General features: G+C 52.2%; 1 protein-coding gene across 4 annotated transcripts in view, besides 2 other annotated features; it reads left to right on the top strand.

Annotated features, from left to right (window-relative positions):
• Window positions 1–23,570, top strand: part of LOC400499 (putative uncharacterized protein) — a 155,563-nt gene that overhangs the window by 100,802 nt on the left and 31,191 nt on the right. For 3 of the 4 annotated variants that reach the window (NM_001370704.1, XM_017023946.1, XM_047434105.1), the window contains 10 exons: window positions 1,343–1,651; window positions 2,432–2,667; window positions 2,750–2,911; window positions 3,520–3,597; window positions 8,937–9,144; window positions 12,268–12,434; window positions 13,823–13,935; window positions 15,449–15,530; window positions 19,439–19,576; window positions 21,910–22,072. In NM_001370704.1, the coding sequence (NP_001357633.1) occupies window positions 1,343–1,651; window positions 2,432–2,667; window positions 2,750–2,911; window positions 3,520–3,597; window positions 8,937–9,144; window positions 12,268–12,434; window positions 13,823–13,935; window positions 15,449–15,530; window positions 19,439–19,576; window positions 21,910–22,072 (1,656 nt within the window). The remainder of the gene's footprint in view (window positions 1–1,342; window positions 1,652–2,431; window positions 2,668–2,749; window positions 2,912–3,519; window positions 3,598–8,936; window positions 9,145–12,267; window positions 12,435–13,822; window positions 13,936–15,448; window positions 15,531–19,438; window positions 19,577–21,909; window positions 22,073–23,570) is intronic. The other variant, NM_001395505.1, reaches the window with a different exon arrangement.
• Window positions 3,249–3,328: an enhancer, noted in NCBI's record as "active region_10444". NCBI's record gives its function as "activates an Ori minimal core promoter by ATAC-STARR-seq in GM12878 lymphoblastoid cells {active_cell/tissue: GM12878}" and the evidence as "EXISTENCE:reporter gene assay evidence [ECO:0000049][PMID:35858748]".
• Window positions 11,884–12,855: an enhancer, noted in NCBI's record as "H3K4me1 hESC enhancer chr16:11507777-11508748 (GRCh37/hg19 assembly coordinates)". NCBI's record gives its function as "activates a minimal SCP1, AML or CMV promoter by ChIP-STARR-seq in naive H9 embryonic stem cells {active_cell/tissue: H9 hESC(naive)}" and the evidence as "EXISTENCE:reporter gene assay evidence [ECO:0000049][PMID:30033119]".

Genomic DNA, 23,570 nt, shown 5'->3' with positions numbered 1-23,570 from the left:
AATTTTTTTTTTAGAGGTGGGGTCTCCCTTTGTTGCCCAGGCTGGTCTGGAATGCCTGAGCTTAAACAATCCTCCTACCTCAACTTCCCAAAGTGCTGGGATTACAGGTATGAGCCACTGCACCCAGCCTGGCCTGATATTTTTATGCCATTTAGGTTTTTTTTTTTCTTATTGCAGTAGCTAAGAAATACAGTATATAATATTGAATAAATATGCTAAGAGTAAAAATTCTTACCTTGTTCTCATTCTTACAAAGAAAACATTCAAAATTTCCACAAATAATTTTAATGTTTGCTATTGGTTTTGCAGAGTTTTTGTTGTTGTTGTTTTTTAGAGACAGAGTCTTGCCCTGTCTCCCAGACTGGAGTGCAGTGGTGCAATCTCTGCTCATTGCAACCTGCAACCTCCACCTCCCAGTTTCAAGCGAGTCTCCTACTTTAGCCTCCCAAGTAGCTGGGATGACAGGCATGCGCCACCACACCTGGCTAATTTTTATATTCTTAGTAGAGACAGGGTTTCACCATGTTGACCAGGCTGGTCTCGAACTCCTGACCTCAAGTGATCTGCCTGTCTCAGCCTCCCAAAGTGCTGGGATTACAGGCGTGAGCCACCGCGCCTGGCCAGTTTTTATTCTTAAGAATGGGTGTTGAATATAGTCAAATGCCTTTTCTGAATCTAGTACATATTCATATGGTTTTTCACTTTAATTTTGTTAATAGTGTGAATTAAATTGGACTTCGGTATGAAACCAACCTTGCTTTAGTGGGATTCCCTGCATTTTTTTCTTTCCTTCTATATGTAATTGAATTTGGTTTCCTAATACTTTGTTAAGAAAGTTGGTGTCTGTGTTCATAGCTCTATTGGGCTGTAATTTTCCTTTTTTGCAAAGCTTTCGTCAGGTTTGGTATGAGGTTTATGCCAATTTCATAAACCAAGTCGAGTATCCTCATCTCTTCTCTTTTCTGAACGAGTTTGTATGAGATTGGTGGTGATGTTCTCTAAACGTCTGATCGATTTTACCAGCGAAGACGTCTGGAGCGTTCTTTGTGGGAGTTTTTTGGAAAACGTATACAGCTATATAAACGTATAGCTCTATATAAATATAGAGCTGTTCAGATTTTCTGAATTATTTTGCGAATTAGGTCGCTTGATTTTCAGAGTATCCTGGGAGGGAGCTGGTGTACTCTGATGGATTTCACAAATGTGCCATTTCTGACATGAGTTACAAGTGCGACATCATGAATCTAGCAACTTCTTACCCCCAAATTCTTTTCCCTCCTCTCCAAAGCAGCTCATTTCCCTGAGCCGCCTCTGCTCTGTTCTTCTCCACCATTCTCTGCAGGCACCCTCAGTGTCACTGCTGACTCAGCTGTGCTGGGCTTCCTCCTGCGGGACCAGCATGAGAAGGCAGGGAACGGCACCAGCGTGCGCAGCGTGACCTGTGTCCTTGCCCAGAACAGCAGCCAGGCCTTGCCTGGAGAGCTCCAGCTGAAGGGCCGGCTGCAGGCCCAGACGAGGAACCTGAGGGCCCAGGCCAGCATCCGGGCCCATGCAGCCAGCCTGGCTCTGGGTGGCGCCTGCTCCTGGGGCCCCCGGCACGGACAGCTTGCGGGTGGCCCGACACACAATATCAGCACGCTGAGTGATGCAGGTAGGACGAGTGGTCCAGGCAGAACAGCTTCCTCCAAGACTTCTAAGTCCTGGAGCCAAGGGAGGGGGGATAAATGAGCCTCCAACCCCCAAATTCACATTCCAGCTTCATTTCTTTCCCCTGCTGGCTTCCCCGGCACACCTGTGTCTCCTTCCCTGGGACGTCATTCAGCCAGAACATGCAGCTTCAGGGCACCAGTTGTTACCGTATTGACAGGCTTCAAATCAGCTGGTGACAGCCGCTGCCATCAGCCCTCCAGGCCTCCCACCCCCAATTCCCTGGGACAGCTTGTGCAGCGTGGATACCTGGCCTAGCCAGGACCCCAAGGATGCCCTCTGGGACCGCAGCTATGAAATAATCCCAACAGCCCCTGCTCGAGCTTCTCAGAAGTTACCTCCAGGCCTGGAGGGGCCCCCAGGTGCAGCAGCGAAGGGAGGACACACAATCAGACCCCTGTTTCCCTCTGAGATTTGTGTCCTTTCCTCGGGGAGCTGGAAGTCCTAAGGGACATGGGTCTTATCACCGGCTGCATGTGGCAATTGTGCTGTGAGGTTGGACCAGATGAAATCGCCATTTCTGTGAACTGTGGACAGTTTCAGATGGTTTAACCTGGTGTATTGGGTGCAGTAGGACCTGGAGCTATGGGGCTCAGGGGATGCTCTAGAGAGCAGGTGTGCTGGCCAGGCCCCCGTCATGTTCCCATCCTGACTAAATGCGGTGGACTGGGGTGAGTGGTCTCTGGGGCTCTGCCCACTCCTGCCCGCTGGCCTCTTCCCCCAGGACTCCCCTCCGAGGCAGGGATGCTCCTGTCTCTCACCCACGTGGCTTCCAACTGCTCAGCACGCCTGGCGCTGTGGAACGCGGGGGCTCAGCTAGACGGTGCCATTGGCCTGGAGGACGTGACCCCCGAGTCCTCGGGCCTCCAGCTCCATGCCAGCCTCCGTCACACCCACACCATGCCCAGCCTCAAGCACTGGGGCCTCCCCTTCTCCTTAGATGGCCACGGGCACTTCCAGGTGAGTGAGGAGGGGGCTGCACCCGGGCCCTCTCGGGGGCCAGTGGGTCCCAGGGACACCCAACAGCTTTGCTTCTGCCCAGAGTGTGGGACGTAGTCTGGCGGCCGGGCTGACGGTGATCTTGGATGGCGAGCAGCTCCGCGCAGCCCTGGAGAGGAAGGCAGAGGGTGGCCGCCAGGGGCTGGTGCTGGGGCTGCACCATGGCCTCTCGGGGCTGCAGGGTACCCTGCCCTCCCAGCTGGAGGTGAGTGGGTTGGGTGCCCACATGGGCCAGGCTGCAGCCTGCACCAGGCCCTGTCTGGTAGAATGAAGATGGTAGAGGCCCTGGTCTCTCAGTTCCTCCCTGGGGCCCCTACCCTGGGGAAGCCTCACACCCGCAGCTGTCCTCTTTATTGTTCTCAGAAATGAAAAGCAGGAAACCACCTCGGTGCCTGTCCCTGAGGGTGGCTAAACCGTCCATGGTGGGAGAGGGAATGTGAGTGAGCAGGGCTCCTGGCCTGAAGCCAGGCTGCACCGTCGCTGACTGTGTGACCACATGCAAGATGCTTCCTCTTTCCCTGACTTGCGTGACTCAGTTTCCTCATCTGCCACCTCCTCCCATGGTTACTCTGTGGTTCAGTTAGCACCGTGCCTGGCGTGGAGGCCCTGCATGCTGGGAGCTCCGTTTACCTTCATTTGATGATGATGCCGTGGCTTCGCCCTCAAGTCCCTGTGCAAACCTCTCTTTGGGGTTATTTGCCCATGGTGGCTTCCCCAAAGGGTGGCGGGGTCAAGTGGGATCTTGGCATCCACGACGGTTCACTCTGGGGTCAGGGAAGAAGCCAGCCCCTTCCCACCCACTGGTCTCTGTAGGTCAACTGCAGTGGAGACGCCTCGCCCACCCAGCTGTTAGGATGGTGCCGAGGGGACATCGCTGGGCAGCCTCTCGAGGTATGGGGTCTCTGTCCTGGGCTGGATGGTTGTGGTACATAGTGGGCCCCTCCAGCGGGGCTGGCACAGCCTGATCACAGGGGCCGTCTGAGGTGTGGCCCGGAGCTGAGTTCGCTGCCAGGAGATACTCACATGGTCCCCCTCCTTCAAAAGCCCCCCACATCCCTGGTGACATGCACCTGGACTCCCAGTTCCCAGGGGCATCAGCTCAACCTGATGGTCATCGAGTGGTCCCATCTGCAAACACAGGTAAACATCAATCAGGACCCAAGGGTTGCAAGCCCACCTCTGTCATGGGCAGCTGGGCTGGCGGTGGGCATGTCCTGGCATCGTGAGACAAGCGGACCGTGGCGCTCAGGGCTGGGGTGCAGCTCAGCTCAGGTGGCTTCAAGCTGTCTCTGCCGAGGGTGCAGGCAGGAAGCACAATGCCTTTCTCTTTGTCCTGTCTGCCTCCCACCACTGCCACCTGAGCGTCACGGGCTCAGGCATTTCTATTTTGTGCATGGTAGTATCCCCAGGTTTGAGACGGGGCCTGACATGTAGTAGGTGCTCAGTCAACATTTTTGACCTATATGGAGTAGCAGTTCCTGCCTCATAAAACAGGTGACATAAAACAGGTGAGGGGCCTTGCCACCTGCTGCATGCTCAGGCAGTGATCGCAGCTGCTGCCGCTGTTGCTGCTGTTTGTTTTCCTTTCTTTTCCTTTGCTTCGTTTTCCTTTCCTTTCCTTTCCTTTCCGTTCCGTTCTGTTCCTTTCCGTCCCATTCCTTTCCTTTTCTGAGACAGAGTCTTGCTCAGTTGCCCAGGCTTGAGTGTAGTGGCATGACCTCAGCTCACTGCAACCTCTGCCTACCAGGTTCAAGTGTCTCCTGCCTCAGCCCACCAGGTAGGTGGGATTACAGGTGCCCACCACCACGCCCAGCTAAATTTTTGTATTTTTAGTATAGACAGGGTTTCACCATGTTGGCCAGGCTTGTCTTGAACTCCTGACCTCAAGTGATCGGCCCGTTTCGGCCTCCCAAAGTGCTGGGATTACAGGCATGGGCCATGTACCCAGCCTGCTCCCGCTGTTTCAATGATAAACCTGTGTGCATTGGGTACAGGGGTTGCAAACTCGAAGACTTTGGGGGCAGGCGGAGAACTGAAATGTGTCACTGGGCTGTGTGGGGAACTACAGAGTGTTTGCCACGTCTCAAACCCTCCACATCATATGTATCTTTTCACATTTCTTGTTGTAGTAAAATATGTGTAATAATGTAAAACCGTTTTAAAGTATACAACTCGGGGATGCTATGGTCGTTCACACTATTCTACAATCATTGGTGCTTGCAAGTTCCAGAACTTTTCAACACCCCAGTGGAATCCCCATACCCATCAGTACATTAGTAGTCCCTCCCATCCCCTCCTCCCTGGTCCCCAGCAACCACAAATCTGCCTTCCGTCCCTATGCGTTTGTCTATTCTGGAAATTTCATACAAACAGAATTATACAAGATGTCGTATATCCCAATACTTTGGGAGGCCGAGGTGGGCGGATCACTTGAGGTCAGGAGTTCGAGATCAGCCTGGCCAACATGGTAAAACCCTGTCTCTACTAAAAATACAACAAAATTAGCTGGGCGTGGTGGCGCATGCGTATAATCCCAGCTACTTGGGAGGCGGAGGCAGGAGAATCGTTTGAACCCAGGAGGCGGAGGTTGCAGTGAGCCAAGATTGTGCCACTGCACTCCGGACTGGGTGGCAGAGCAAGACTCAGTCTCAAAAAAAAAACAACACAAAAAATACCAGAGTGAGTGACCACATAAAACTTATCAGCTCAAGGGCCACCAGTTTGCAACCCCTGGTCTAGGGTTGACTAGACCCTGGGAATGCCTAGTCCTGGGGGGAAAGTCCAGGGAGCCAGCTGTGTGGTGATGAGGGCTCAGGCCTCAGTTTTCCCAGCTCTGCCCACTGGGGCTGGGGTGCAGGGAAGCGCTCTGTGGATAGTGACAGAGAGCTCACCCCTGGCCTCTCTGCTGTCACACTGAGTCTCTGGATCTGCCCTGAGCCTGAGTGCCTGGGGCCCGTCTGACCTTGGCACCATCAAGGTCAGCGGTGACACCAGCAGAGGCCTAGCAGGCAGGCCTGGGTGTGGCCCAGGGTGGATGGGGACAGTTTGGCAGAGGTGGCCAGCAGTACAGAGCCCCTGAAACTCAGGACAAGTCCAGCCCTGGGCCCTGTGCTGTCATCCCAGAGGGTGGGTGGCACATGATCAGAGCCCAGCAGACCTGGACCTCCTGTGGTGGTCCTTCTGCCTAGAGCAGGGCTTCCCGCACACCCAGTACACAGGCATAATCGGGGAGGGCGTTAAAATGAAGGTTTGATTCAGCAGGTCTGGGGTGGGGCCTGAGATGCTGCGTTTCTCAGCCCGGGTGATGCAGTCACGGCTGGGCCGCGGCTCATTCTTTGGGTTGCAGGGGACCAGGGTGCCCTCTCCCCGTCTGTCATCCCTGCTCCTTCATGCCTGGGTAGCTCCTTCGAAATTGTGGTAGAGGTGGTGGAGATTTCACTGAAAGTTTGGGGTTTTTTTCCGGGGGGGGGGGTTTATTATTATTTAAGTTTTAGGGTACATGTGCACAATGTGCAGGTTAGTTACATATGTATACATGTGCCATGCTGGTGTGCTGCACCCATTAACTCGTCATTTAGCATTAGGTATATCTCCTAATGCTATCCCTCCCCCCTCCCCCCACCCCACAACAGTCCCCCGAGTGTGATGTTCCCCTTCCTGTGTCCACGTGTTCTCATTGTTCAATTCCCATCTATGAGTGAGAACATGTGGTGTTTGGTTTTTTGTCCTTGTGATAGTTTGCTGAGAATGATGATTTCTAATTTCATCCATGTCCCTACAAAGGACATGAACTCATCATTTTTTATGGCTGCATAGTATTCCATGGTGTATATGTGCCACATTTTCTTAATCCATTCTATGATAGTTGGACATTTGGGTTGGTTCCAAGTCTTTGCTATTGTGAATAGTGCCGCAATAAACATACGTGTGCATGTGTCTTTATAGCAGCATGATTTATAGTCCTTTGGGTATATACCCAGTAATGGGATGGCTGGGTCAAATGGTATTTCTAGTTCTAGATCCCTGAGGAATCGCCACACTGACTTCCACAATGGTTGAACTAGTTTACAGTCCCACCAACAGTGTAAAAGTGTTCCTATTTCTCCACATCCTCGCCAGCATCTGTTGTTTCCTGACTTTTTAATGATTGCCATTCTAACTGGTGTGAGATGGTATCTCATTGTGGTTTTGATTTGCATTTCTCTGATGGCCAGTGATGATGAGCATTTTTTCATGTGTCTTTTGGCTGCATAAATGTCTTCTTTTGAGAAGTGTCTGTTCATATCCTTTGCCCACTTTTTGATGGGGTTGTTTTTTTCTTGTAAATTTGAGTTCATTGTAGATTCTGGATATTAGCCCTTTGTCAGATGAGTAGGTTGCGAAAATTTTCTCCCATTTTGGAGGTTGCCTGTTCACTCTGATGGTAGTTTCTTTTGCCGTGCAGAAGCTCTTCAGTTTAATGAGGTCCCATTTGTCAATTTTGGCTTTTGTCGCCATTGCTTTTGGTGTTCTAGACATGAAGTCCTTGCCCATACCTATGTCCTGAATGGTAATGCCTAGGTTTTCTTCTAGGGTTTTTATGGTTTTTAGGTCTAACGTTTAAGTCTTTAATCCATCTTGAATTAATTTTTGTATAAGGTGTAAGGAAGGGATCCAGTTTCAGCTTTCTACATATGGCTAGCCAGTTTTCCCAGCACCATTTATTAAATAGGGAATCCTTTCCCCATTGCTTGTTTTTCTCAGGTTTGTCAAAGATCAGATAGTTGTAGATAAGCGGCGTTATTTCTGAGGGCTCTGTTCTGTTCCATTGATCTATATCTCTGTTTTGGTACCAGTACCATGCTGTTTTGGTTACTGTAGCCTTGTAGTATATTTTTTTTGTTGTTGTTGTTTTTTGTTTTTTTGAGACAGAGTTTTGCCCTTTCACCCAGGCTGGAGTACAGTAGTGTGATCTCGGCTCACTGCAAGCTCCGCCCCCTGGGCTCAAGAGATTCCACCGCTTCAGCCTCCTGAGTAACTGGGATTATAGACACCCACTACTATGCCTGGCTAATTTTTGTATTTTTAGTAGAGACGGGGTTTTGCCTTGTTGGCCAGGATGGTCTCAAACTCCTGACCTCAAGTGATCTGTCCGCCTTTGCCTCCCAAAGTGCCGGGATTCCAGGCATGAGCCACTGCACCTGGCCTCACTGAAGGTTTTACTAAGACAATTGTGGGGTGGCATGGGAGGGAATTACATCTCACAGCAGAGTTTGAGAAACTTTTTCCATCAAGGGCCAGATAGTAAATGTCTTAGCCTCTGTGGCCCTGCAGTCTCTGCCACAATGCCTCCATTCTACTGCTATTGTGTTGTGAAAGCAGCCACAGGAATGGGATGTGAACATGTTACCGGAATGGGGTCTCGATCCAGACCGCAAGGGAGGGTTCTTGGATCTTGTGCAAGAAAGAATTCAGGGCTGCTGGTTGCCCATTTTTATGGCTATTTCTTGATGATATGCTAAACAAGGGGTGGATTATTCACGCCTCCCCTTTTTAGACAATATAGGGCAACTTCCTGACATTGCCATGACATCTGTAAACTGTCATGGTGCTGGTGGGAGTGTAGCAGTGAGGACGACCAGAGGTCACTCTTGTCACCTTCTTGGTTTGGTGGGATTTAGCCAGCTTCTTTACTGCAACCTGTTTTATCAGCAAGGTCTTTATGACCTGTATCTTGTGCTGACCTCCTATGTCGTCCCGTGACTTAGAATGCCTGACCTCCTGGGAATGCAGCCTGGTAGGTCTCAGCCTTACTTTACCCAGTGTCTATTCAAGATGGAGTTGCTCTGGTTCAAATGCCTCTGACAAACAGGCAGGGCTGTGTTCCAACAACTTTATTTACAACAACAGATGTAGGCTGTGGTTTGCAACCTGTTTCGCACCAGCCAGGACATCTTGGTCTTCCCAAAGTCTTTCTCCAGCCATCTTCCCCAGGCCCACTCTCCCCTGCCTGCCCCACTTCCTGATTGGTTTCTCCGCGTTTTCTCTACGGTCTCCTGGGTGCATGTGTAATTAGCTGGAGTAACCCCATTGGTCATCAAACCTGCTCCTTCAAGAGGGTCTGAGTTCCTCCCATCACAGCGACGTGGATGGCACTGATAACCCCAGGGTTTGTGGGAGCCAGTGCCAGCTTGACCCAGGCTGGCTCTCTCTGCACAGGGTGGTCCAGCGTCTCCTTGGTGTCATTCCAGGTCTCTGTGGACATTCACAATGGCAGCTCCGGCTTCGAGCATTCTGGACGCATCCTGATGGGGCCCACATTCCTCAACTACTCTGTGAGCTGCTATTACCATGATGGGCACCTGGAGCTCTCCGGCCGGAGCTGGCACAACAGTGAGGCTTTGTTGTGGGCAGGGTTCCCAGGCGAGGCCTGCCTTAGTGCTGAGCTGCAGATACACGGTAAGGCACTCAGCGCACAGCCCGGGACTGGGGAGCTGGCTTCCTCCATGCCTGGGCCAGACCAGCAGCCTCAGGCCTGGACCCAGGTGGCACTCCTGTCAAGTCCAGTGTGGCTCTGGGCTCCAGGACAACCAAGACAGCCTTGCCCGTCAATGACCTAACTCCCAAGGCAGGTGGATTAGTTTTCTAGGACTTCCACAACAAAGTCCCACACACTGGATGGCTTAAAACATAGAAATCTTAGCTAGGTGTGGTGGTGCATGTGTGTGGTCGCAGCTACTCGGGAGGCTGAGGCAGGGGATTACTGGAGCCAGAAGGTTGAGGTTGCAATGAGCTATGATTGCAACACTGCCCTCCAGCCTGGGTGACAGAATGAGACCCTGTCTCAAAATAAAAACAATCCACAGTGGATTGAGGGCCCGTCCGACTTGAATATGACCTTGTTTTTACTTAATTACATCTGTGAATACCTTATTTTTAAATAAAGTCATATTCACAGGACAGAGGGTGAGGGGGGGTGGGACTTCAATATCTCTTTTTGGGGGACACGGTTCAACCCATTATGGTGGGAAGATAAAAGCAACAAGAGGAGCCAGCACTGGCTGAGCACTTACTGCATACATGCCAGGCAAGCTGTGTGCACACGAGAGCACAATACAGTACAGCCGTCCCGATCACACAGGGTGAAAGTCAAAGCTCTTAGAGGGGCCTGCGAGCCATCAGAATCCACACCCTTCCCCCATCTGACCTCATCTCCCAGCCCCCAGCCCTACTTGTTCCACTCCTTGCTATTCTTCAACACGCCAGGCTTGCTGCGGCCCCAGGACCTTGGCACGGGCTGATCCTGCTGCCTGGAATGTGTCTCTCCCACACGCCTGCCTGGCTCCCTCACCTCCCTTAGGTATTTTTCCAATGGCATCTCAGGGAGGCCTCTCTTTTCCACCTCCCCGTTTCCTCCCATCCCCTCCCATCCCTCTCCCCAGCTCTGTCATTTGAACACACTGTGTAGCATACAAATACCTTTGTTTTTCATTTTTCTATGCTAGAATCACCAGAATGTGTGCTCTGTGAGGGCAGGGATGACTTTTGTCTGCTTCGCCGTAGGGTGCATAGTAGGTATCGAATGGGTGCATGAACGAGCCTATGAGATAGGGTTAGGAATGCCATTCCCATTCTGCAGATGAGGAATGGAGGCTCAGAGAGGTTGAGTCACCTGGTCTAGGCCACACAGCTGGTAATGACGGAGTGAGGATTGAACCCAGAGCCATCCTCTGACCCCCATATAGATTATGGAGACTTGGCTCTTGACCATTCAGGATCCCGGGGACTCCCCAGTCCCCTAGGGGAGTCCTTCTGTTGGCCTCAAATTTTTTTATTTTGGGGGCCGGGTGCAATGGCTCATGCATGTAATCCTAGCACTTTGGGAGGCCAAGGCGGGTGGATCATTTGAGGTCAGGAGTTCGAGACTAGCCTGGCCAACATGGTGAAACCCTGTCTCTACAAAAAATATTAGCTGAGCATGGTGGTGCATGCCTGTAGTCCCAGCTACTCAGGAGCCTGAGACACAAGAATCACTCGAACCTGGGAGGCGGAGGTTGCAGTGAGCCGAGATCACGCCACAGCACTCCAGCCTGGGCCACAGAGTGAAACTCTGTCTCAAAAAAAAAAAAACAAAACAACAACAGCAAAAAAAACACTTTATTTTTGGCCGTTAGCCTCCTGAGGGGAGAACAGAGGACAGGATCACATGGGGAAATTGTCCCCAGTCTGAGTTGACCTCAGGGTTTGTTAGGGACATGACAGTCAAGTGAGGGGAGGCCATTCTGGATGACCACCTCCACGCCGCTCTAGTTCCCGACCCAGGATGCCTGGTATGGCCGCCCCCAGCCAAGAGTGACTTCTCCCTTCTCCCACTGCTGTCCAGTCTGTTGTCCCTACCTCCTGGGGATGCTCTGCCTGTCGTTAACATTCTTGGTATCTCTGACAGCCGGGTGCTCCCAGGTGTGGGGATTGTGTCCCCTGTCTCCTTGTGCCCTGCATGTAGTAGGTACATGTGGCTGAATGTTGAACGAGGAAGGAAGGAAGCATTTCCTGAGGCCACCTGCATGTCCCACAAGTGGTCCTCTCCCGTGTGTTACCCCATTCACTCTGGACGCTGTCCCTTGAGGCGGGCGGGCTGTGCCCACCTCATAGATAAGGAAGTCGAGGCTCAGGGCTGTGGAGCTCGTCCACCCTGCTGGCCAGATGGGAGGTGCTGGAGCCTGGCTGAGTGTCACTTGGGCCTGAGCCGTGAGCTGCACCCCACGGGAACCTGGCATCTGATACAGAATCGGCGCCATCTGTTTGCTCTGGGGCTCCTGGACCCGATGAGTTTCTCTGTATAGCAAAGGGAGTTTAAGTCAAAGAAGAAACTCCTAACTGTGAGCCAAAATCTCCTGTTCTGTAGGGGGTGATGGGAAGGACGGGACCCTCCAGCCAGGGCCAGGTGGCTGCAGGTGGATGTCAGTGGCCGCAGTGGCCATTTGTGGGGAGCAGACGTCATGCTGATTCCTCTGCAGGCTACCCCTCCCATAATCCTCAGGAATCCCTGCAGAGAAGCCTTTCATCCCACAGTCATTCAGAAAGCACTCACTGCACCCCCGCTGCATGTCAGGAGCTGTCCTAAGGGAAATCCCGACCCCAGGCACTGACCTTCTGGTGGGGTGAGAGTTTGGGGAGCAGGAACCTAATAAGTAAGTGAGCGAGGTCATTTCAGGTTGTGCTGGAAACCACACTCCAGGGAGATGGGATGGAGGATGCCTGGCAGCCAAGGACTGGGAGGGACTTCAGATGGGCAGTCAAGGGAAGCTTCTTGGAGAAGGTGTCATTTCAGCAACTTCAACTTCAATGAGAGAAGGAGCCACCCAGGCCTGGATCCTCAGGGACAAATTATGACAGATGATGTCACGGAGGCTCAAAGGGGTTGACCCCACCCAGCACCCACGCTGTGGCAGCCTTGCCCTTTCCTGCTGGTGTTGTGTTTGAGGGCCACAGGGCATGGCCTCTCATGTAGTCTGGTGTGTTCCTGGGCTGGGAAGGGAGGTGAAGCTGTCTTCAGTAGCCCATGCCATTCTCTGTCTCTAGAGACCCAGACCCAGGCCAGGGTGGCCCTCCATGGTGGGGACAGTGGAGTCAGCATGGACCTGGCAGCCCTGGTGGCTCGGCCACGACGTGGCCCACTGCAGCTGGTGGCCAGTGCCAGCCACACAGTGCCTGCTCTCCAGAGGCTGGGCCTGCCCTTCACCAACCAGGTAAGGAGTGGATGGAGCAGGACCTCCCTCCACATTCTGTTCTCTCTGTCCAATTCCTGGTGTGCAGAGGACCCGCTGTGTGCAGGGTGGGTGGGGAGGACCAGGCCTTGGGTTTCCCCAGTACTTGACAATTTACAAAGGCTTCATTCATAATCGCTATAACCAGGTCTGCTGAGCAGTCTCTGCATTTCCAATCACAGGGCTGGTGTGGATGGGTGCCCTGGAGCCTCGTCTGGCTCCTGCCCTGCGTCCTTCTGCCCTGCAATCTTGGGTCAGAATCAAAGCTCCTGCTTGTCAAGCCCTGCCCTGTGCCCAGCCCCCTTCAAAGGGTTTATGGGCGTTCGTCAGTCTCATCCTCCTCAGGCTCCAGAGAAAGGCAGGATGGCACCGTCCTTACCAAGGCCCTCTCCGATGTTCAGATCCCAGCTCTGCTGCTTGCCAGCTGTGTGGCCTTGGGCAAATTCCTTCACCTGTCTGTGCCCTCATCTCCTCATCTGCAAAACAGGGATGATGATATTACCTATAATGTGGAGGTTGTGAGGATCGAGTGAGTTCATCCCATTAATGCCTGAGTAGATCCTTAAGCACCTGCTGTGATGAAGGCAAAGATGAAGAAGAAGATGCTGATGGTCTGACAGTGATTATTATCGTCATCATCATCATCTCTGGGTCACACGTGAGAGTGTGGGTGACTTGCCCAAGGTCACCTAGCAAGTTAGCAGCAAAATAGGGACTCAGACTTGGCACCCAGGCCCTTCCTCACGGTGTCCTCCTGCCTCGGTGAAGAGGAACCCACATGGGGCCATGCCCTGACCACTGTCACTTGGCATGAACTCGTCCTGCTTGGCTGGGCCCTCCTTCTCCAAGAGCCACAGAGCCTATTCTAGAGCCAGGCGCCAATGCTTCTTTCACACCCTCCTGTTTCAGATTACCCAGCAACCCCTGCCCCAGTCCACTCTGCTGTAGGAGGAGGGAGCAGCTCCCAGGGGGTCAGGGGGCCAGGATGTCACCCCTCCTGCAAAGGATCTCAGCCCTGTACCCCACAACTGAGTGGACTGGATACCCTGTGCCCTTGGCTTCATCTAAACCCTTTCCTGGCCTCGAGGTCAGGTGACAGGGAGCCCTCCCGGGAGCACATTCTCTGTCGACGTCTGGGCTGCAGCTGTCCTTTGAGGTCCCTCGGTGGGCACTGCCAACCTGAGCTGCAATAGGGGCTGACTCCGGCCCTGTATCCTCAGCACCTGTGAGAGTGTTGGATGAGCCAGGCCATGCTGGGCTTAGGGACAGGGACGTGCTGGGCTATAGAGCTCGGCTGGGGTCCCCACCCAGCCTGTGAGGCTCCTCAGGCTATGTACACCCACACATCTCACAGCCTGCTCCCTCCTCAGCTCGTGTTCCAAGGACTCTGGGAGGCAGAAGAGATGAGCTCCTCACTGCAGCTGACCTGCGATTCTCAGGCCACCTTGGTCCTTGACGTCCGTGGCCAGAACCAGGCAGTCAGGTGAGGGGGGCCCCCAGGAGGAGAGGAGTCGGGGGAGGAACCATTGACTGGGTACCTGCTGTGCACCATCGCTGGACACAGCACCTCTCAATTCTCTGCTCAGCACTGCTGCATAAACAAGGGCAGGGAGGCTCAGAGAGGCCAAGTAACTTTTCCAAGGTCACACAGCTATAAAAATCCCTCATCCTCTCCAGGCAGGGCACTGATGAGTTCTCAGTCTCAGAAACTAAGTGCATCCAAGGCCCCAAACACTTATTAATAACTATTACTGCCCTTAGGCCTGGGGGCCTGGTGAGGCGCTTGGTGCTCTTACGTGTGCAGTAAGTCAGGGGCCACCAGCCAGGCTCTAGCCCTCAGGTCTCAGCAGTGAGGGAGGGGGTGAGTAAGCCACTTGTTGAAGGGGTAGACCAGTGGTTCTCACCTAGGGGCGAGTTTCCCCCCAGGGACTTTCAGCAAAGTCTGGGGAATTTCTGGTTGCTACAGTGGGGAGGAGGACACTGTGAGAGTCAGTGTATAGAGGCCACGGATGCTGCTAAGCATCTTACAGTGCCTAGGACACACCCACGACTGTGAAGGCCAGGAGTCAAGATGTCAGCTGTGCCAAGGCTGAGACATGGAGGTGGAGAGGAACCTGACAAGAGGGTGTAGCACCCTGGAGTTAGCAACAGGGGAGAGAGGCCTGGCACAGCGGCTCACACCTGTAATCCCAGTGCTTTGGGAGGTCGAGGTGGGAGGATTGCTTAAGCCCAGAAGCTCGAGGCCAACCTGGGCAACATAGTGAGATCCCCATCGCTACAAAAAATCTTAAAAATGAGCCTGGTATGGTGACGCATGCTTGTAGTCCCAGCTGCTCAGGAGGGTGAGGCAGGAGGATCACTTGAGTCTGGGAGATCGAAGCTGCAGTGAGCAGAGATGGCACCACTGCACTCCAGCCTGGGTGACAGAGAAAGACCCTGTCTCTAGTGAAGAAGGAAAAAAAAAAAAAGAAAAAGAGAAAAACGTGGAGATTGTAACCACCCTGGCCTGGAGGAGTGAGGGGAGGGGTGCTATGTGAGGAGGATCCCTGGGAGGGAGTCAGGGGGTTAAAATCCTGCTGTCCAGACCCTGCTGGGACTCCCATGGGACCAACCCAAGAAAGCTCATTGATGGACTCATGGAAGACTTGAAGCCCAGAGCCATGTTTAACCCTTGATACCAATGGGGAAACTGAGGCTCAGGGGAAGCTGAGGCTCAGAGAGGGACAACCAAGAAGCTTGCTCCTGGTGCCAGAGCTAGGCAGAGGCCAAGCCAGGACTCAAATCTAGGTAACTTGGCTCCAGAGTCCAGCCCTAACCAGGGCACCGTATGGCCCTTGGGCCTCGGGGTGTGTGAATAGCCCTGAACTGGGCCACTGATGTGATCCTGGCTCTCTGACTCTCTCTCGGGGAAGTCCCCTTGGTCTCGACATGGCCCTGGGGGCACTGGACAAGGTGCTGTCTTGCCAGCTTCAGGCCTTCTCTTTCCTTCCTTCTAGCAAAGAGCTGCTGTTCTCAGGCCGGCATCGCCTCCCCTTCCTCCTGGGTCTCTGCCCCAGCTCAGCCTCAGCCTCAGCTAAGGTAACTGTGCCCCAGCTGCCTGGCTCCTAACTGGTTCCAGATGCCCAGCCCGAGGCAGGAGGGGGCCAGGCCCCTCTGGGGAGTGTTAATACATGCACATCTGTTCACCAGCCTGCAGCAGGCTCCGGTGGGCAACCCTCGGAAACCCCTGGCTCCAGCTTTCCCAAACATACCCAGGTTTACATTCCTGGGCCAGCCCCCGTGGCCCCCAGTCAGGCTCACAAGCCCTTTGGGAGATGGGGGAGGCCTCCTCACCCAGTGCCTGGCGCCTGGCATTGCCTCACCCAGCCTGGCACACTTGTAGAAGCTGGAGCAGATGACACAGCCCTTTGGAGCTGAGCCAGCGTCACCCCCATCTCTGCCCTGCATGCAGGACTTGAGGGGTCGTAGGAGTGCACAGGAGGGCCCAGTAGTCTTAGGCCAGGTTCCTCTGTCCCTCTGAGCTGTCATTGTCTGTGCCCAGATCCGGAGCTCCTGGAGGGCATGCCTAGTGCCTGGCACAGGGCCCAGCACACAGTAGTTGTTTAGTAAAAAAAATAGGGCATGAATAGGTGAGTGCATGCATGAATGGTTACATCTGTAACTAGTCACTTCATTTTCCTACCAGCCACCATGTTTTGGTAGGCACCCTCCCAGCCCTGGCCCAGGCCACCTTTGTCTACAGAGCATGCGCTATGTGCTGGGTCCCCTGCCGCATTTACACGTGATTTTGGAGTTCCTCAAACTTCGCTCCAACTGCACAGTCATTCAGGGAACTTCTTTATTTATTTATTTAATTTTTAAATTTTTTTTGAGACACAGTCTCTCTTTGTCACCCAGGCTGGAGTGCAGTGGCACAATTTCGGCTCACTGCAACCTCCGCCTCCCCGGTTCAAGCGATTCTCCTGCCCCAGCCTCCTGAGTAGCTGGAATGACAGGCGTGCGCCACCACGCCTGGCTAATTTTTGTATTTTTGGTAGAGACAGGGTTTCACCGTGATATCCAGGCTGGTCGCAAACTCCTGACCTTAAATGATCCACCCACCTCGGCCTCCCAAAGTGTTGGGATTACAGGCGTGAGCCACTGCGCCCAGCCTTATTTTTTGTTTTTAGAATGTCTTTTTGAGACAGGGTCTTGCTCTGTCACCCAGGTTGGAGTGTGGTGACGTGATCATAGCTCACTGCAGCCTCAAACTCCTGGGTGCAAGTGATCCTCCTGCCTCAGCCTCTGGAGTAGCTGGGACTACAGGTGGTACCACCACACCTGGCTCCATTCCGGGAGCTTCTTAGTTTTTTCCCAAGTTTTATTTTGAGTTATTTCAACCTATATAAAAGCTACTGTAGGACAGTGAACATTGACCAATTGTTAATATCTTTCCATCTTTCTTATCTGTTACATAAATTTGTATCATCACACATTTTTTCTGTATCATTAAGAATTAATATAGAGACGTTTCTGAAGACATCAACTTTTTACTCTGAAATACTTCAACTATTTCCTGTAACAAGGATATTTTCTGATTTAACACGGTAATTACAACATTCCAGAAACTGAACGTTGAATTAATACCTTCATTTAATGTACAGCCCATATACAATTTCCCAGCTTTCCCACTAATGTTCTTTCAAAAAACTGTTTTGTTTTGTTTTAAATCCGGGATGCAGGCCAAGATCACGCAGCATTCGTAGTTGCCATGTCTTTTTAATTTTCTTAATCTAGAACAGAGGTCTACAAACTTTTATTGTAAAGTAAAATGTTGTGGGGGTTGCAGGCCTTATGGTCCCTGTTACAACTACTCAGAATTGTCACTGTAACACAAAAGCAGCTATAGACGATATGTAAGTGAATAGACATGGCTGTTACAATAAAACTTTTTATAAAATCAGGTTGTGGGCCAAATTTGACCCAAAAGCCAACTCCTGATCTAGAATATTTTCCTTCTACACCCTACCCTTCCTTACCCAATGTTTTATTTTTTTATTTTTTTATTTATTTTTTCTTTTTTTGAGATGAAGTTTCACTCTGTCACCCACGCTGGAGTGCAGAGGCGTGATCTCGACTCACCGCAACCTCCGCCACCTGGGCTTATGCAATTCTCCTGCCTCAGCCTCCTGAGTAGCTGGGATTACAGGCATGCACTACCATGCCTGGCTAATTTTTGTATTTTTGGTAGAGATGGGGTTTCGCCACGTTGGCCGGGCTGGTCTTGAACTCCTGACCTCAAATGATCTGCCCACCTCAGCCTCCCAAAGTGCTGGGATTACAGGCATGAGTCACTGCATCTGGCCCCCCAACATTTTATTATACAATTTTTTAGACACTAAAAAATTGAAGTAATTTTACAGTGCATACCCACATACTAGATTTTCCTGTTTACATTTTATTTCACATAATCACATAGCTCTCTATCCATCCATCTTATTTTTGGATACATTTCAAAGTAAGTTGCAGATATAATTCCCCCTAAACATTTTATTGTCATTAACCACCTTCAGAAAAGTCCCAACTGGATGCAGTGGTTCACACTCATAATCACAACACTTTGGGAGGCCAAGGAAGGAGAATTGTTAGAGTTCAGGAGTTCAAAACAGCCTGCAACCTAGGGAGACCCCATTGCTACAGAAAATTTAAAAATCAGCCAGGCATGGTGGTGTGTACCTGTATCTCAGCTACCAGGGAGGCTGAGGTATGGAAGAATTGCTTGAGCCCAGGAGGTTGAGGCTGCAGTAAGCTGTGTTCACACCACTGCACACTCTAGCCTGGATGACAGAGCAGACAGACCCTGTCTCTGTCTAAAAAAAAAAAAAAAAAAAAATCCTGCACTGACAATTTTGAAGTGTCCAGGAAGTTATTTTGCAAAACATCCTCCTAATGTGGATTTGTCCGATTGTTTCTTGAAGATAAGATTCAGGCTGAACATTTTTGACAAGGGGTATCACTAACGAAATGACGCCTCTAGTGAGCGCGTTAAAAATACCAGCTCTTGGCTGGGTGCGGTAGCTCACACCCGTAATCCAGCACTTTGGGAGGCCGAGGTGGGCAGGTCACCTGAGGTCAGGAGTTCGAGACTGGCCTGGCCAACATGGCGAAACCCCATCTCTACTAAAAATACAAAAATTAGTTGGGTGTGGTGGTACATGCCTGTAATCTTGGTTACTCAGGAGGCTGAGGCAGAAGAATCACTTGAACCCAGGAGGCAGAGGTTGCAGTGAGCCGAGATCGTGCCACTGCACTTCAGCAGCCTGGGCAACAGAGCAAGACTCCTTCTCAAAAAAAAAAAAAAAAAAAAAAAAAAACAGCTCTGGAACATCTTCCCAGAGACTCCATTTTTGTAGGTTTTAAGTGGGAGCCCAGAATCTGTATTTTTAATAAGTTCCCCCGCAGTGATTCTGCTTTTCAGCCAACCTGGAAGTTAGCACATTATTTCATACAATTTTCGCAGCAACCCGTAATAAAATAGGTGTCCTTATCCCTGTTTTTGGATTAGAAGGCTTGGGTGGTTAAGGAACTAGCTGGAGATCACTCACCTCTCAGTGGTAGATCCACACTTGGAGTTCTGTTGTGTTTGATGCTGACACGCACCCAGGCATAATTCTTTCTGCTAGACTGCCCCCTGCTGTCTGCAACAGTACTACAACTAGAATTCTTGGCTGCTGGTGCCAGGCTGGTAGATATTTTCAAGTCAATGTTATAGCAGGGAGGGCATGAAGGAGATAGTTGCCATGGCCACGCTTGATGGCCTAACCTGAGGCTCCAAACCCTCGCATCATCAAACTTCATCCAGCCCAGGGAGTTGTGGGTCTCTTGGGCCTGGGACTTTGGGAGGCAGAGCCCTCGGCCTACAGCCAGCATCTCCTGGAATGTTCCATCAGAGCCCTGATGAGGAGCTTTATCGTGTTTTGTGGTGGTTTTTTTTTTTTCTGACCCAGCTACACTACTCCAAGGGTGAGGTTCAGAGCATGTTCGCCTTGGGCGTGGAGGAGCGTCATTTTCACATCAGCACCCGGCAGGTAGCTGCTAAGGCCGGTCTCAACAATTTCATCAAACTGGAACAGACCTTTCTGCAGGTGTGTGGAGGTCAGCCCAGGGCCGGAGCACGCTGGGGTGGGGGGCCTCTGGGACAGCCCTTTGAGAAAAGAAAAATTGTCCTAGTGTCCCGGTTCCTGGGCGGAAGGACAGACAAGGCTGTGAAATGGACACAATGTGCTGGATTTATTGAGCTGGATTTATTGCATGATTTATGGAGCATCTACTAGGTGCCAGGCACTATTTCAGAAGCTGGGGCGTGACCTAAAACAGATCTGATCAATCCTTCCTCTCATCAAGTGTCCACTCTAGCGGGGGAGATTGACTCCCCGAAATCACACAAACGAAATATGCCAGATAGTACTATGATACGGAGAAAACGTACTGAAGTGACTGAGAGTGACCAAGGAGCTTATTTAGATTAGGTGGCCAGGAAAGGCCCCACTGAAGAGACGACACATGAGCTAGCGGTGGATGATAAGCACCAGCCATTTGAAAATCCGGGGGAAGGCCGGGCACGGTGGCTCGCGCCTGTAATCCCAGCACTTTGGGAGGCCGAGGCGGGTGGATGACCTGAGGTGAGGAGTTCGAGACCAGCACGGCCAACATGGGGAAACCCCGTCTCTACTAAAAATATGGAATTAGCCAGGCGTGGTGGCACATGCCTATAATCCCAGCTACTTTGGAGGCTGAGGCAGGAGAATTGCTTGAACCCAGGATGTGGAGGTTGCAGTGAGCCGAGATTGCGCCGTTGCACTGCGGCCTGGGTGACAAGAGTGAAACTCCATCTCAAAAGGAAGAAAAGAAAAAAGAAATCTCTGGGGGAGGGGCATTCGAGGCAGGTAAAGAGACTGTGGTATATATACACCATGGAATATTACACAGCCGGAAAAAAGAATGAAATTCTGTCCTTTGCAGCAGCAGGGATGCAATTATCCTAAGTGAACTAGCTCAGAAACAGAAAACCCAGTATCACATGTTCTCACTTGTAAGCAGGAGCTAAACATTGAATACACATGGACATAAAGATGGAAACAGTAAACACTGAGGGCTCCAAAAGGGAGGAGGGTGAGAGGGAGCCAAGGGTTGGAAAATTACCTGCCTGGTATGATGTTCGATATTTGGGTGACAGGGACGCTGGAAGCCCAGTCCCCACCATTACACAATATACCTATGTAACAAACATGCACACTGACCCCCTCAATCTAAAATACATTTTTTAAAAAGAGTATTCCAGGCAGAGGGAACAAGACATGCAAAGGGCCTGGGGCAGGGATGGGTTTGCATGTTTTAGGAATGGCCAAGGAGCCACTGGGCTGGAGCTGGGTGGGTGGGGAATGGTAGGAGGTGGTCTGATCACACAGGGTCAGTCAGGCCACAGGGAGGCGTTTGCATTGTGTTCTATCTGCTACTAGAAGCCTTTGAAGCCATGATCAAATAAATGATGATTTCAGATCCCTCTGGCTGCTGTGTGGGGAGGGACCTACAGGTGGCAGAAGTGAGCAGTGAGGAAGCCCCATAATGGGCAGGGGCAGGGCAATAATAATGCGTGGACCAAGCTGGGGGCAGTAGTGATAGGTTTTAGAGACGTTTAAGAGCAAACTTCCTTCCCCACCCCAGCAGTCCCCCTGCAGTGCCCTCAAGTCACCCTCGGACTGTGGCACCCACCAGCAGGGACGGCGTCCCTCTCCGAACCTTTGCACAGGCTCTTCCATCTGCCTAGAATGCTCTTCCCTGCCTCCTCCCCAAGCTTGCTTCTCTGCGTTCCTTTCTCCCTTGAATGTCTCTTGTGACCATCCTTGTCACCTTATCCCATCATTTTCTGTCCTGTGACTATCTCGACTATCTCCCTGGGAGCCCCTTAAGGGCCAGGACCAGGTCTTGGCTAGCTTTGTACCCAGGCACTCAGCACTGGCTTGGGAGCATGATACCTGCTCGCTACATGATTGAGAAACCGCAATACCAACTGCGTGCCTCCTACAAGCTCCTCTCCACCGTGTAGCCCTGGGCTGAGTGCACCACTTGTATCATCTTGCAAAGGTTGACACTTTCTGGCCTCCATTTTCTAGGAAACTGAGGCTCAGAGAGGTTGAAAAATGCCCAGAGCCACACAGCTTGGCCATGGAATTGAGAAGTGGCTGTTCTGTGCTGTCTCCTGTTGGCCATACTCCCCTCACCTACTCCTCTCCTTTAAATTATCTGCTCATCCTTAGGAAGCATTTGGGTTTTTGATCCCCTGACATATGTCACCATTCAGGAAACTGTAAATGATCCACAAATATTCCCTTTTTCCTCCTCTGCAAGCTTCTCTTCTTTCCCATCCCAGGCAGAAGCATGGGTCGGGTTCCCCCATGACGCCGTCATTCTCTTCCAGCTCAGCGCTCTTCCCAGGGAGCTGTTCCTGCAGACCGCATACGAGCGAGCTCATGGGACCCGTGTCCTGCGCCAGGTGGTGCTGTGGGATGGCCAGGAGGTGGCCCTCACCGGGAGCCTTTCTGGGCCTTTCCCCAAGCCCACCAGGAACCTCAGCCTGCAGGGTGAGTGTGTGAGGGGCTGCAGGCAGGGGTGGCCCAGTCACTCAAGAAATCATCCCTGGCCAGGCGCGGTGGCTCATGCCTGTAATCCAAGCCCTTTGGGAGGCCGAGGTGGGTAGATCACTCGAGGTCAGGAGTTTGAGACCAGCCTGGCCAACATGGTGAAACCCCATCTCTACTAAAAATACAAAAATTAGCCAGGCATGGTGGCAGGCACCTACAATCTCAGCTACTTGGGAGGCTGAGGCAGGAGAATCGCTTGAACCTGGGAGGCAGAGGTTGCAGAGAGCCGAGATTGAGCCAGTGCATTCCAGCCTGAGCGAGAGTGAGACTCGGTCTCAAAAAAGCCATGACTGAGCACCTGCATATCCCAGGTGTAATCTAGGCACCAGGGGTCCATCAGGAAGCAAGATGGCCCAGGTGTCACCCCTCAGGGAGACAGGCATTGAGCAACAAGATGCACATAAGCAAAATAACGTCAAGCATGACCATTTCCACGAGTGGGAAAGGCTGTGAGAGCAAGCAGGGTCTTTGTGGGGTGTGGGCCTCCTTTAGGTGGGGTGGTCTGGGAAGGCCTCTTGGAGGAGGTGACTTCTGAACTGAGTTCTGAAGGATGAGAAGGAGCTGGCAGATCTGAGCAGAGGCACTTCAGGCGGAAGGCCCCACTTGGAAATGAGGTTTGCATGTGGAGCAGCAGCTGCGGGGCTAGCATGGCTGGAATGGGGAGAAGGGATGAGGCGAGGCAGGAGGGCTGGGGGACCCAGGTCATGCAGCGTCTCAGCTCATAGAGAGGAGCTGGGGCTTATCCTGAGTGCAGCCGGGCAGGGAGAAGGGGCCAGGGCGTGGAAGAGGTGGCATCCCTGGGCAGTTGTGGTGCCAGGGGAGCTGAGTGCCGACACAGCGCCAACAACAGCAGCCATGAGCCCCTGGGTCCTCCAGAAACAGGCATCCCTGGAAGGGGCTGTAATTTGTGGCCTGGGCAGCCACAAGACTTAGTTTCTGTGTAAGGAACCTCCTGAGCACAGAGCAGAGCCCGACCCACAGCCTGCCAGGTGTGGAGACAGAGTGCAGACCCCAGCCTGGAGGCACGGCTTACCAGGTGGCCTGATGGAATCCTCCCAGCGTCACATTTGCCACATGTGTGCCCTGGAAGGCAGAGGAAGTGAGCAGGTCCCCAGCAAGCCAAGGCAGTGTGCATGCGTGTATGTGTGTGCTCATGAGTGTATGTGTGCTCATGTGTGTATGTGTGCATGTGTGTGTATACATGCACGTGTGTGCATGCCTGTGTGTGTGTGTATTTGTGCCACCCTTGGTGAGCTACACAGTCTGCAGCCCCACACGGTGTTGACAGTGTTGCAGGTGGGGTCAGCGGGTGGCAGGAACAAAGGGTTCTAGCCCTGCATGTGGTCAGCCTCCCCAGAACCAATGACTGGGTGATGCCCTGAGAACCAGCCAGTGCCAGTGTCTCTGGGCACGGCTCCTGCAGCCCATCTGAACAGGT

This window comes from Homo sapiens, chromosome 16 (assembly GCF_000001405.40).
Source record: "Homo sapiens chromosome 16, GRCh38.p14 Primary Assembly".
NCBI lineage: Eukaryota > Metazoa > Chordata > Mammalia > Primates > Hominidae > Homo > Homo sapiens.
This window is presented reverse-complemented; position numbering and strand designations above follow the sequence as displayed.